Here is a 13,913-nt window from a genome sequence, read left to right as displayed (position 1 = left end):
AGTTATATGTATTACATACTGTGTTCTCATAATAAAGTAAGCTAGAGAAAAGAAAATGTTGTTAAGAAAATCATGAGGAAGAGGAAATAAACTGACTACTCATCACGTGGAAGTGGATCATCAGAAAGGTCTCCATCCTCAAAAAGCTCACAGTGAGCAGGCCAAGGAGGAGGAAGTGGATGGGTTGGTTTTGCTGTCTTGGGGGTGGCAAAGGCAGAAGTGGAGGGAGGTGGAAGGAGGGGCTAGAGAGGCAGGCATACACCGTGTAACTTTTACTGGAAAAAGTCTGCAAATAAGTGGACCCGCATGGTTCAAACACGTGTTGTTTCAGGGACAACTATACAATAATTTTTAGAAGATTTCTGGAGCTGTGCAACAACCATCACCATAATCCAGTTTTTGTTTGTTTGTTTTGAGACAGGGTCTCACTCTGTCACCCAGGCTGGAGTGCAGTGGTGTGATCTCAGCTTACTGCAACCTCCGCCTCCTGGGTTCCAGTGATTCTCATGCCTCAGCTTCCCAAGTACCTGGGATTACAGGAGGTGCCACCAAGCCTGACTAATTTTTTTGCATTTTTAGTAGAGGAAGGGGTTTCACCGTGTTGGCCAGGCTGGTCTCGAACTCCTGGCCTCAAGTGATTCATCTGCCTCGGCCTCCCAGTACTGGGATTATAGGCATGAGCCATCGTGTCCGGCCTGTTTTTGTTTTTTTAATTTTAATTATTTTTTAAATGGAGATGGGGTATCACTATGTTGCCCAGGCTGGTCTTGAACTTCTGGGCTGGAGCAATCCTCCTTTCCTCCTGAAAGTGCTAGGATTACAGATGTGAGCCACCAGGCCCGGCCTTGCTCATCTGTTGATGGACAGTTAGGTTGATTCCATGTCTTGGCTGTTGTGAAAGGTGCTGCAATAAACATGGGGTACAGCGATCTCTTGGACATACGGATTTCATTTCTTTTAGATATATACCCAACAGTGGTGTTGCTGGGTCATATGGTAGTTCTATTTTTAATATTTTGAGGAACCCCCGGCACTGTTTTCTACAATGGCTATACTGATTTACATCTCCACCAACAGTGTACAAGGGTTTCCCTTTCTCCACACCCTGGACAACACTTGTTATCTTTTGCCTTTTTGACAAGAGCCAGTCTGACAGGTGTGAGGTGATAGCTCATTGTGGTTTTGATTTGGATTCCCTGATGATTAGCGATGTTGAGCATTTTTTCATACACCTGTTGGCCACTTGTACACCTTCTTTTGAGAAATATCCATTCAGATCTTTTACAATTGAGTTGTTTGAATTCTTTGTATATTTTCATTATTAATCCCTTATTAGTTATATGGTTTGCAGATATTTTCCTGCATTCTGTAGATTGTCACTTTGTTGATTGATTCCTTTGCTGTGCAGAACATTTTTAGTTTGATGTAATCCCATTTGTCTATTTTTTCTTTTGTGGCCTTTGCTTTTGAGGCTTTATTTCCTCAAAATAAGCCAGGCACAGAAAGACAAGTACTGCACGATCTCACTCACATGTGGAATCTGAAAACGCTGATGCCACAGAAGAACAGAGCAGAATGGTGGTTACCAGAGGCTGGGGTGGCTGGCGGAAGGGGAGAGAGGAAGATGTTGGTCAAAGGATACACATTTACAGTTAGATACAAGGGGGAAAGTCCAGAATAGGCAAATATACAGAGACAGAGAGTAGACAGGTGATTGCCTGGGGCCAGAAAGCAGGGGAGAGAGGATCAGTGAAGAACGGGTAGAAAAAGTGAGAATAACTGCTAATGGTTAGGGAGTTTCTTCTCCCTTTTTTTTTTTTTTTTTTTTTTTTGACAAGGTCTCGTTCTGTCACCCAGGCTGGAATGCAGTGGGGCAATCATGGCTTACTGCAGCCTTGCCCTTTTGGGCTTAAGCAATTCTCCCACCTCAGCCTCTCCAGTACCTGGCACTACAGGTGTGCACCATCATGCCTGGCTAAATTTTGGTTGGTTGTTGTTTTGTTTTTTTGAGACGGAGTCTCACTCTGTCGCCCAGGTTGGAGAGCAGTGGCGCGATCTTGGCTCACTGCAACCTCTGTCTCCCAGGTTCAAACGATTCTCCTGTCTCAGCCTCCTGAGTAGCTGGGATTACAGGTGTGCACCACCATGCCCGGCTAATTTTTGTATTTTTAGTGGAGGCAGGGTTTCACCATGTTGGCCAGGCTAGTCTCAAACTCCTTACCTCAAGTGATCCTCCTGCCTCAGCCTCCCAAAGTGTTGGGATTACAGGTGTGAGCCACCGCCTAATTTTTGTGTTTTTTTGTAGAAATAAGGTTTCACCATGTTGCTCAGACTGGTCTCAAACTCCTGAGCTCAGGTGATCCCCCTGCCTGGGCTTCGCAGGGATTATAGGCTAAGCCACCGCACCTGGCCACATTTAAGTCTTTAATTCATTTCGGGTTGATTTTTGTCTATGTTGAGAAGCCAAGGTCTGATATTATTTTTCTGTATGTGTGTATCTAGTTTTCTCAACACCGTTTATTGAAGAACCTATCCTTTTCTCATTGTGTGTTCTTGGCACCTTTGTTAAAAATCAGTTGGCTGCAAATGCATGCATTTATTTCCAGGCTCTATTCTGTTCCATTGGTTTATGTGTCTGTGTTTATGACAATAGTGTGCTGTTTGGGTTACTATATCTCTGTAGTTTTTTTTGTTTTGTTTTGTTTTTGAGACGGAGTCTCACTCTGTCACCCAGGCTGGAGTGCAATGGCGCAATCTTGGATCACTGCAACCTCCGCCTCCCGGGTTCAAGCGATTCTCCTGCCTCAGCCTCCTGAGTAGCTGGGGATTACAGGCGTGCGCCACCACACCCAGCTAATTTTTTTGTTTTTAGCAGAGACGGTGTTTCACCATGTTGGCCAGGCTGGTCTCGAACTCCTGCCCTCAGGTGATCCGCCCACCTCAGCCTCCCAAAGTGCTGGGATTACAGGCGGGAGCCACCATGCCCAGCCTCTGTAGTATATTCTGAAGTCAGGTAGTGTGATGCCTCCAGCCTTGTTCTTTTGCTCAGGATAGCTTTTGCTATTCCAAGTCTTTTGTGGTTCCACACAAATTTTAGGATTTCTTTTTCTATTTGCATGAAGAATATGGTAGGTATTTTGATAGAGACTGCATTGAATCTGTAGATTGCATTGAATCTGTAGATTGCTTTGAATCTGTAGATTGCATTGAACCTGTAGATTGCATTGAATTTGTAGATTGCTTTGGGTACTATCTATTGTTTATTTATTTTTTGAGATGAGTTACCTAGGCTGTTACCCAGGCTGGAGTTCAGTGGTGCAGTCATGGCTCACTGCAGCTTTGATATCCTGGGCTCAAGCGATCCTCCCACTTCAGCCTCCTGAGTGTCTGGGACTACAGGTGTGAGCCACCACGTGCAGCTACTTTTTATTTTATTTCTTTTCTTTTTCTTTTTTCTTTTTTTTTTTGAGACAGAGTTTTGGTCTTGTTGCTCAGGCTAGAGTGCAATGGCGCAATCTTGGCTCACCGCAACCTCTGCCTCCCGTGTTCAAGCAGTTCTCCTGCCTCAGCCTCAAGCTACTCAAGCTGGGATTACAGGCGCCCACTACCACGCCTGGCTAATTTTGTATTTTTAGCAGAGATAGGGTTTCTGCATGGTGGTCAGGCTGGTCTGGAACTCCTGACCTCAAGCGATCTGCCTGCCTTGGCCTCCCAAAGTGCTGGGATTACAGGCATGAGCCATCACGCCCAGCCTTATTTTATTTTTTAGTAGAGACAAGGTCTAGCTGTGTTGCCCAGGCTAGTCTTGAACTCTTGAGCTCAAGTGATCCTCCCACCTCATCCTCACAAAGTGTTGGGATTACAGATGTGAGCAACAGCACCTGGTCTATTAATTCTGTTGTTGCCAGTGTTTTTGGTGTCATATCCAAGAAATCATTGCCAAATCTGATGTCATGAAGCATTTCTCCTGTTTTCTTCTAAGAGTTTTATAGTTTTAGATCCGATGTTTAGGCGTTGATCTGTTTTGAATTAACTTTTCTTTTTTGTGTGTGTGTTTGGTTTTTTTTCGAGACAGATCCTTGCTCTGTCGCCCAGGCTGGAGTGCGGTGGCGCAATCTCGGCTCACTGCAAGCTCCGCCTCCCGGGTTCAAGCGATTCTCCTGCCTCAGCCTCTCTAGGAGCTGGGATTACAGGCCCCCGCCACCACACCCAGCTAATTTTTTGTATTTTTAGTAGAGACGGGATTTCACCGTGTTAGCCAGGATGGTCTCGATCTCTTGACCTTGTGATCTGCCCGACTCGGCCTCCCAAAGTGCTGGGATTACAGGAGTGAGCCACCACGCCAGGCCAAATTAACTTTTCTGTATATTATATAAGGTAATGGTCCAACATAATTCATGTATGTGTGGATATTCAGTTTTCCTAACACAATTTGTTGAAAAGACTATTCTTTTTCCATTGAATGATCTTGACATCATTGTTGAAAATTGTTTGGCCACATATGTGAAGGTTTATGTCTGGGTTCTTTGTTCTGTTTAATTGGCCAGTATGCCTTTCTTTATGCCAGTGCCACACTGTTTCAATTACTGTAGCTTTATGGTAAGTTTTGAAATAAAAAGGAGTGAAGTCTCCAACTTTGTTCATCTTTTTCAAGATTGCTTTGGCTATTCTGGGTCCTTGGAGATTCCTATGAATTTTAAAATGGGTTATTTTTGCAAAAACAAAGTGCTGTTGGAATTTTCAAAGGGATTGCATTGAGTCTTTAGAAGGCTTTGGATTGTATTGTCATCTTAACAATATTATGTCTTCCAATCCATTAACAAAGATGTCTTTCCATTTGTTTGTATTTAATTTCTTTCAGCAGTGTTTTATATTTTTTAGTGTGTAAGTCTTTCACCTCCTTGATTATATTTTTTTAAATTGAAACTTGTATTTAGCCATTTTGAGACTAATATCTTGAATAAGTAAAATTCATTTACACTACATTCTTCATCTTTTGGATGCTGTTGTACATGGAATTAATTTCCTTTTGGGATTGTTCATTGCTAAAATATAGAAATGCAACTGATTTTTACATGTTGCTTTTGTATCCTGCAACTTCCCTGAATTCGTTTATTAGCTCTAACTAATAATTATTATGGAATCTTTGGGATTTACTACATATAAAATCATGTCATCCAGAGTTTCATGTGTTATGAGGCACAGAGGGACTACCTTTTTATCATAATGTTTGTAGTAATTTTTGTCCGCAGGTCTGTTTTGTCTAATACTTGTCTAATGTTAGTATTGCCACTTCCCTCTCTTTTGGTTACTCTTTGCATGGTATGTCCTTTTGCGTTCTTTTAGTTTCACCGTACTTGTATTTTTATATTTAAAATTTGTTTCTAGTGGATAGCATATAGTTGGTTCATGTTTTCTGTTTACTCTGTAAATCTCTGCCTTTTGATTTGAGTATCTTGTTCATTTACATTTAATGCAAATATGTATGTAGTGGGATTTACATCTGTCATTTTGTTATTTGTTCTCTTTATGTCTTATATCCAGAGAGCTGATGGCCACAGCAGCTCCGGCCTGATTTCTAATAGGAGGGTTATCTAATAGAAGGATTTCAGAGCATTCCAGGGACAAGATTTGCATTTGTATGAATTTTTTTGTGTTAAAAGCCTCTTAGAACATGGTCTCAAGAAATTAGGGATGTGTTTTTCACCATCGTGTTGGTTTAAGCCTGATGTGCATCTGTGCTATTCAGCACAAGCTCACTGGGCATTTGTTTTCCTGGTCGCTCCCCCTCCAACTTTATTACGACTGCATTTCCTTCACGCACAGCCCATGCCGTGGGCTGTGGCTTGGCCCTCCATGGGGGCAGAGGTGATGTCTGTTGAACTGTGGCTCCCAGGTTTTTTAGATGGGAATAAGACAGATGTACAGTGATAGCCGCTGTGACCTTGTCATGCCCTGTTCTTTGCTTTCCCCTTCACATTCACATTTGCATCACAGGGGAGGGGGAAAAAAGCCCAAAACACTCTGAAAGCAGTGGGTTTCATCTTGAAACCTGATTCCATAGCCAAAATTTGATGCTCAGAGCCTGTGTGGTCACTCCTTGCAGTCATGTTTTCCTGGCCAGGACAGTGGGGATGAGTGTTGATTTGTCCTTGAAGATACTCACAGAAGGAGATGTGCTTGCTCTGAAGAACCACATAGCCCCACAGCTGAAGTGGTGAAGTTCTGCATTACATTTGAATCCCTGTCCAAAGCTCAACTTCTCAAGCTGTTCCTAGAAGGACCAGTCTCCACGAAACCAGTGAGCCTTAACACCACCTGGACTCATGGCTCAGTGGGGCCAGCTGCCCCCAGAGATCATTGAATAACTGTATGTGTTAAATTGAGTAGACTTGTGCATATGAACAAAAACTTCACTGACTCTTGAGAGGTAGCCTTGTTCCTGTCAAGGAGACCACAGGGATAAGGTTTTCATATGCACAAGTTGTGTTTTCTTGTTTGTCGTGATGACAGGGTGTGGAGGTGGTAGAGGTGATGTATTAGTCAGGGTTCTCCAGAGAAACAGAAGCAGCAGGATACGTGTGGATGTGCGTCTAGAGAGATTTATTTTAAGGATCTGACTCACAATTGTAGAGGCTGGCAAGTCCAGCGTTTGCAAGGCAGGCCCATAGGCTAAAGACCCGGGGAAAAGCTGATGTTGAAGGCAGCCTGAAGGCAAGATTCCCTCTTTCTTAGGAGAGGTCAGTCTTTTTTCTTTCAAGGCCTGCACTGGTTGGATGAGGCCCACCCAAATTATGGAGGGTAATTTGTTTCATTCAGAGTCTACTGGTATAGATGTTAATCTCATCTAAAAAGTACTTTCATAGCAATGTTTAGATTGGAGTTGGACCAAAAACTGGGTACCATGGCCTGGCCAAGTTGACACATAAAAGCAACCATCACAGGGATTGATTTTTATTTTGTATTTAAATAATTTGCGTTTTATTTTTATTTATTTATTTATTTTTTGAGATGGAGTCTCGCTGTGTCGCCCAAGCTGGAGTGCAGTGGCGCTATCTTGGCTCACTGCAACCTCCACCTCCCTGGTTCAAGCGATTCTCCTGCCTCAGCCTCTTGAGTAGCTGGGATTACAGGCGTGTGCCACCACGCCTGGCTAATTTTTGTGTTTTTAGTAGAGACGGGGTTTCACCATATTGGTCAGGCTGTTCTCAAACTCCTGACCTCAAGTGATCTGCCTGTGTCAGCCTCCCAGAGTGCTGACTTCTTTTCTTTTTGAGATGGGGTCTCACTGTGTAGCCCAGGCTGGTCATGAACTCCTGGGCTCAAGTGATCCTCCCACCTCAACCTCCCAAAGTGCTGGGATTACAGGAGCCACCATGCCCGGCCTTCTTGTATTTCAGTCACACATTTCAGGCTGACCTCACTGGTCACATGGAATTGACTGTGACCTGTGATGGGCACCTGAGAAGCCTCTGGAGCTCTTGGTTGCCCTGATTCTATCCCAGGCCCAGGTGGAGGGCAGATGTGCTGTGTTGTAGCTGCGGGCTGTGGTGGGGTGCTATGTTGTAGCTGCGGGCTGTGGTGGGGCCGGGCCCTGGAAGTGTGTGTGAAGACACAGGCCGGCACATGTCTTCCCACACACTGTGAGCAGGAAAGGTTCAGGTGCCCCGAGTTCTTCCTCTTCACATATGTCGGCCGCACTCCTGTAGACTTAGCCAAGACTACATGGTGGAAAGTGCGATTGGAACTCTGTGCTTCAGGAACTTTGTGATTTCATTTAGTGAGATCTGGGAGCGTGCTCTGAAGTCACCTGTCCTGAGCCCCTCAGCCAGCAGGGCTTAGTCGGGCCCCGTCCAGGCCATTGTCACTTTTGAGGAAGACTCTCCAAGATTTATAAACAGGTGGTGGGTGACCTGCCCATTGTAGTCCATAACCTGTTGCTGCCAGCAGCTCCTGGGAAGGGGCGATAGGAGAGCACTGCCTCCTTGTCCCGTGTCCCAACCGATGCTAGAGCCAGTGCTTCAGGTATTCAGGTACCTCAGGTTGCTTGGAAAAGTTTAAATAAATTATGCTTACTTATTAAGTATTCTCTTTTCATCTTTTATCAGCTTTTTTTATTGGCTCCCCTGCAGAAAAAAAAAAAGGCAGAGGTGATTTTGGGAACTGCGGCGTCCCCTCGGCATCTCTGAACATGCGCCACCGTCTGTGTGTTCATCAACGTAAAGCTGTCTGTTCTGGCTGTTGCTGTCTCATACAGTGTGTGCACCAGATGCTAGCGAGTCTTACACAGATGCTGTCGAGATGTAGGAGGCAGCGTTGCTGTGTCTGCTGCTCATCGTGGGGTCTTTCCACATGCTGCCAAGCGGGTTCCCTTTCTCCACAAACTTGGAGCGAGGGTCTCGGTGGGCTGTCATGGGTGCAGACTCTTAGTTGAGAAATCTTCAGGATGGCATTGCCTTTCTGCAGCCTGTTGTTGGCCACAACTCAGGTCCTTCTTCATCCCCGGCAGGAACAAACCCCTCCTAAGCTTTTGTGTATTTATCTGCTAAGGCTGCCAAAACACAGTACCAGCGACTGGGTGGCCTCACCACAGACATAGTATTTGCTCACAGTTCTGGAGGCTGGACATCCAAGATCACAGTGTGGGCAGGTTGGTTCCCTCTGTGGCCTGTCTCCTTGGCTTGCAGATGGCCGTCCTCTCCCTGCGTCCTTGCGTGGTCTTCTCTCTGTGTGCATCTGTGTCCTAATCTTGTCTTTTTTTTTTTTTTTTGAGACGGAGTTTTGCTTTTGTTGCCCAGGCTGGAGTGCAGTGGCGTGATCTGGGCCCACCGCAACCTCTGCCTCCCGGGTTCGAGCGATTCTCCTGCCTCAGCCTTCTGAGTAGCTGGGATTTCAGTGTGTAGCTGGGATTACAGGCCCACGCCACCACGCCTGGCTAATTTTGTATTTTTTTTTTTAGTAGAGACGGGGTTTCTCCATGTTGGTCAGGCTGGTCTCGAACTCCTGACCTCAGGTGATCCACCCGCCTCGGCCTCCCAAAGTGTTGGGATTACAGGTGTGATCCACTGCACCCGACCTAATCTCCTTGTCTTATAAGGACCCAGTCCTATTGGATGAGGGCCCACCCTGATGGATTCATTTTAACTTAATTATCTCTGTAAAGAACGGAAGCATTCTGAGGTCCTGGGGGTTAAGGCTTCAACACACGAATTTTGAGAGCACACAGTTCAGCCCATAACAGTTTGTTTTGTTAAAACGTGGGCTCTTCATTATCGCCTTTGATCCCCTGGGCCAAGCCCTTGTTGATGGGGCGCCCCTGAACTCTCAGAGCCATGGACTCCTGCTGCTCTGGGGACACCAGGGCAGCGGGAAGGGGCTGGGGCCTGGTGTGTCCGCTACTAGGGAAGCCTAATTCGTTATCCCTGTTAGATAAAAATACAGGTGCTCTAGTATTTGCTTCTGTCATTCCAAGGAATCACAGTCATGCATCACTTACCAACAGGGATATGTTCTGAGAAATGCATTGTTAGGCACTTTTGTCATTGTGTGGGCATCATAAAGGGCACTTACACACACCCAGATGGTACTGCCTGCTGCACGCCTAGGCTCCACGCTAGAGCCTGTTGCTCCCAGGCCACACGCCTGTGCAGTGTGTTACTGCAGTGAACACTGTGGTTAAGAGTATTTGTGTATCCAAGTTTACGTAAACATAGAAATGGTACAGTGACACCATCTCAGCTCACCACAACCTCTGCCTTCCAGGTTCAAGCAATTCTCCTGCCTCAGCCTCCCAAGTAGCTGGGATTACAGGCGTACGCCACCACACCTGGCTAATTTTTGTATTTTTAGTAGAGACGAGGTTTCACCACGTTGGCTGGGCTGGTCTCGAACTCCTGACCTCAGGTGATCCGCCTGCCTTGGCCTCTCAAAGTGTTGGGACTATAGGCGTGAGCCACCACACCCAGACAGTAATTTAGGATGTTTTTAAGTAATTTTAAGTTTAGAGTATTTTTACGTAAAATCTAGCACTTTTTGGTTACCTGTATGTTGATATGTTTATTAATATATGTGTACACACACACACACACACACACACACACACACACAATGGAATACTATTCAGCCTTTAAAAAGAAGGAAATCCTGTCATTTGTGACAAGGATAAACCTGGAAGACATTACGCTTAGTAAAATAAGCCAGGCCCAGAAAGACAGATACTGCATGACCTGATTTCTATGTGGAATCTAGAAAATTTGAGCTCATAGAAGCAGAGAGTAGAATGAGGGTCGCTGCAAATAACCCATCTGGGCAGGCAGACGGGGCTGGGGTTGGCATCCATCTCCTGCCGTTTCTCGGCTCTGTGAATTTGGACAAATCACTTTCTCTGGCCCTCAATTTCGCCGTCTCTAAAGAAGGGGTTGAATGAGCTCAGACAGCCCAAGGCTTCACGAAGTGCAAGCGGCTGAGATGTGCTGGTGTTGAAGGTGATTGAGGACAGGGTGGGGTCCCTTTTTCCCAGAGGGAACATGGAGCCCTGTGTCTCAGGTGCCCGTGGCATCTTCGCCGGCTGCACTTGGTTCCCGACTCCCCGGGGAGCTGCCGGGCAGGGGAAACTGCCCTGCTGGCCTGGGGCACCGTGGCCGAGGTCAGCCAAAGGCCAAGACCTGCCTTCTTGCTGGGGCTGGAGGCTGCTTCCTGCCTTCCAGGCTGCGGAGTCTGCTGGCAGGGCTGCCGGGTGTGTGTGTGTGTGTGTGTGTGTGTGTGTGTGTGTGTGTGTGTGTGTGTGTGTGAGTGATGAGGTTGCGGAGTCTGCTGGTGGGGCCGCCAGTTGTGTGTGTGTGTGTGTGTGTGTGTGTGTGTGTGTGTGTGGTGAGGAGGAGTGGACTCACTCTGCATGGGGGTGGGGTAGGGTTCACATATTTTAAGCTCATCATCTGGCTGGGAAAGTAGCTGCTCTTGCTCCAGAAAGGGAAAAAAAAAAAAAAAGTATGTGAAGTGATACATATGCGTAATAGCTCGATTTAACCATTCCACAAGGTACACATATATGTAAACCTCTGATTGTATGCAGTAAATATATACAATTTTTATTTGTCAACAATACCTTAATTTATATAAAAACATGTGAATCCATAGTTTCTGTCTCATAATAAATTAGTTTGGCCCATCCACAAAAAACAAAACCCAGCTCTTTTGCAATGATCTGAAGCATTCTGATTATAACACTGATGTTTATTCCCGGGGCTGACTGGGCCTGGAAGGTCCTTTCTACAAGCCGTCCTCATGAAGGCATGGTGTCCAGGCATCTCTCACAACTGGGGGTTAAAAGCTTTCTGCCCAGGAGTGCGTGACTCTGGGCAAAACCTTCCTCTAGGCAGACGCGGGCATGTTGTGGCCGTGCTCTGGCTGGTGAGATGGGTTCAGCCTGCGATACGTGCCAGCGTCCAGCCTGCCCGGGGCCATAGGAGTGAGGGGCGACCAAAACACACTTCCGCTTGAAGAGTCGGGGCAAGTCTGTTTGAGACATTTCCCATTCCTTTCCCTTATGTTCACAAAAAGTTTTCAGGGGGATATTTCATTCTTTCTTATGTTATGTTATGTTATGTTATGTTATGTTATGTTATGTTATGTTATGTTATGTTATGTTATTTTTGAAACAGAGTTTTGCTCTTGTTGCCCAGGCTGGAGTGCAATGGCACAGTCTTGGCTCACTGCAACCTCCACCTCCTGGATTGAAGCGATTCTCCTGCCTCAGCCTCTTGAGTAGCTGGGACTACAGGCATCTGCCACCACGCCCATCTAATTCTGTATTTTTAGTAGGGACGGGGTTTCTCCATATTGGTCAGGCTGACCTCAGGTGATCGCCCGCCTCTGCCTCCCAAAGTGCTGAGATTACAGGTGTGAGCCACCGCGTCTGGCCTTTCTTACTCATTTTAAATAACTTCAAACTTATACAAAACATTGCAAAAATAAAAATAGGACAAAGAACACAATTCAAACACTTCTCTCTCCACTTGAGGCCCTTTACCTCTAGACACATCAGTGTCTATTTCCTAAGAATGAGGATGTTCTCTTGTGTGCCACAGGACACTTGTCCACTACTGGCCCTGTTTAGAAAATGCTTGCCGAGCCCTGTGCTGGAGCATGTGTTGCCCAGGTATTCATGTGTAAGAATGTTCCTCAGAGGTCATGACAGCCAAGTGTCTGCAAATGGCATTGGTTCTGAGCAGCAGGAGACAGGACATGTAGCCTGGTTTGTTGGTTGGGTGGAATAGCACGCACACGTCAACATGGTGCTTCAGGAGCACCGCCTGGCAGCGTGCATGCGTCTCGTAATAGCAGTGGGCACAGTATGAATAGGTCAGGTGACTATATATAGATGATATCCCTTTTATAACAACTCAACTGAAAGGTGCTTTTTAAGAATATAGATGAGCTATGGCCGGGCGTGGTGGCTCACGTCTGTAATCTCAGCACTTTGGGAGGCCGAGGCTGGTGGATCACCTGAGGTCGGGAGTTCGAGACCAGCTTGACCAACATGGAGAAATCCTGTCTCTACTAAAAAAAAATAACAAAATTTAGCCGGGCATGGTGGCGCACACCTGTAATCCCAGCTACTCGGGAGGCTTAGGCACGAGAATAGCTTGAACCAGGGAGGCGGAGGTGGTGGTGAGCTGAGATTGTACCATTGTATTCCAGCGTGGGCAACAAGAGCAAAACTCCGTCTCAAGAAAAAAAAAAAGAAAAAAAAGAAGAATATAGATGAGATACAGTTTATGCAGAAGAAAGCAGGGGATCGATGCCTGGGGGTGCAGAGCAGGGGCTCACTGTGGATCACAAGCAGGACTCTGCCTTTCGGTGTGGGCAGTGAGTTCGCACGTCTTTGACATCATTAAACATTACTAATTATGGTGAGAGCAGGTCAGAGTCCAAGAATTATTATGTATCTGAGTCCCAGTTTTAAAAATCCTACTACCAATCAGTTTGCTGAAATTTTTATTGATCTCAAGATTACTTTTAAATGAATTATCTGAGATTACCTATAGTAGTGCTGCCTTGACACTGTTTCTCACCTGAGCAGCTGTTTGGCTTCCCATAGTGGCCACAGCAATTTGCAGAAACTGGGGCTATGATTAGAAACTGCTTCCTTCCCTGGGCCTGGGCTGGCAGACTTCTTCCTCCTTGGTAAATTTAGAAGTGAAACAGGAAATTCCAAAGGGAAAAGCTAATATGATAAAAAGTTAAAACTTAGTTTCAAAGAAAATAGTAAGTGAAATGAAAAAGAAAGTAGCTTGACCTGGAAAAAGTTTTGTAGCAATTCTCACAAAGCTTTAATATCTTTAACGTTGTTAGTATAGTAAGTCCATCTGTCAGTTGCTGAGGAAAATACCAAGATTCCAAGGATTTTAAAAAAACAAACAGGCAAACAACCCAAGCTGGCAAGTTACAAATGAAGAAAAACAGGCAGGGGGAAGTGGCTCGTTCCTGTAATTTCAGCATCTTTGGGAGGCTGAGGCTGGAGGATCTCTTGAGCTTAGGAGTTCAAGACCAGCCTGTGCAACAAGGCAAGACTCTGTCTCTACAAAAAATCAAAAAAATTAGCCAGACGTGGTGGTGCACACCTGTAGTCCCAGCTACCTGGGGGGCTGAGGTGGGAGGATCACTTGAGCCTGAGAAGTTGAGGCTGCAGTAAGCTGTTATCACACCACTGCACTTCAGCCTGGTTGACAGTGAGACCCTGTCTCAAAAAAGAAGAAAAACAAACTGGTTAATGCATAGAAATATGTTTCATCTCAGTGATAATACAAGAAATGAAAATTAAGGCCAGGCACAGTGGCTCATGCCTGCAATCTCAGCGCTTTGGAAGGCCAAAGCCGGCGGATCACTTGAGGTCAGGAGTTCGAGACCAGCCT

General features: G+C 45.7%; 1 protein-coding gene across 9 annotated transcripts in view, besides 3 other annotated features; it reads left to right on the top strand.

Moving 5' to 3' along the window:
* Positions 1–13,913, top strand: part of CYFIP1 (cytoplasmic FMR1 interacting protein 1) — a 113,847-nt gene that overhangs the window by 5,755 nt on the left and 94,179 nt on the right. The window lies entirely within an intron of this gene.
* Positions 7,607–8,106: an enhancer, noted in NCBI's record as "H3K4me1 hESC enhancer chr15:22905531-22906030 (GRCh37/hg19 assembly coordinates)". NCBI's record gives its function as "activates a minimal SCP1, AML or CMV promoter by ChIP-STARR-seq in naive H9 embryonic stem cells {active_cell/tissue: H9 hESC(naive)}" and the evidence as "EXISTENCE:reporter gene assay evidence [ECO:0000049][PMID:30033119]".
* Positions 7,607–8,124: a biological region, named in NCBI's record as "H3K4me1 hESC enhancer GRCh37_chr15:22905531-22906030".
* Positions 7,958–8,124: a silencer, noted in NCBI's record as "fragment chr15:22905882-22906048 (GRCh37/hg19 assembly coordinates)". NCBI's record gives its function as "represses an EF-1alpha promoter that drives an FKBP-Casp9 reporter gene in an ReSE screen in HepG2 liver carcinoma cells {active_cell/tissue: HepG2}" and the evidence as "EXISTENCE:reporter gene assay evidence [ECO:0000049][PMID:32094911]".

This window comes from Homo sapiens, chromosome 15, assembly GCF_000001405.40.
Source record: "Homo sapiens chromosome 15, GRCh38.p14 Primary Assembly".
Lineage (NCBI taxonomy): Eukaryota > Metazoa > Chordata > Mammalia > Primates > Hominidae > Homo > Homo sapiens.
This window is presented reverse-complemented; position numbering and strand designations above follow the sequence as displayed.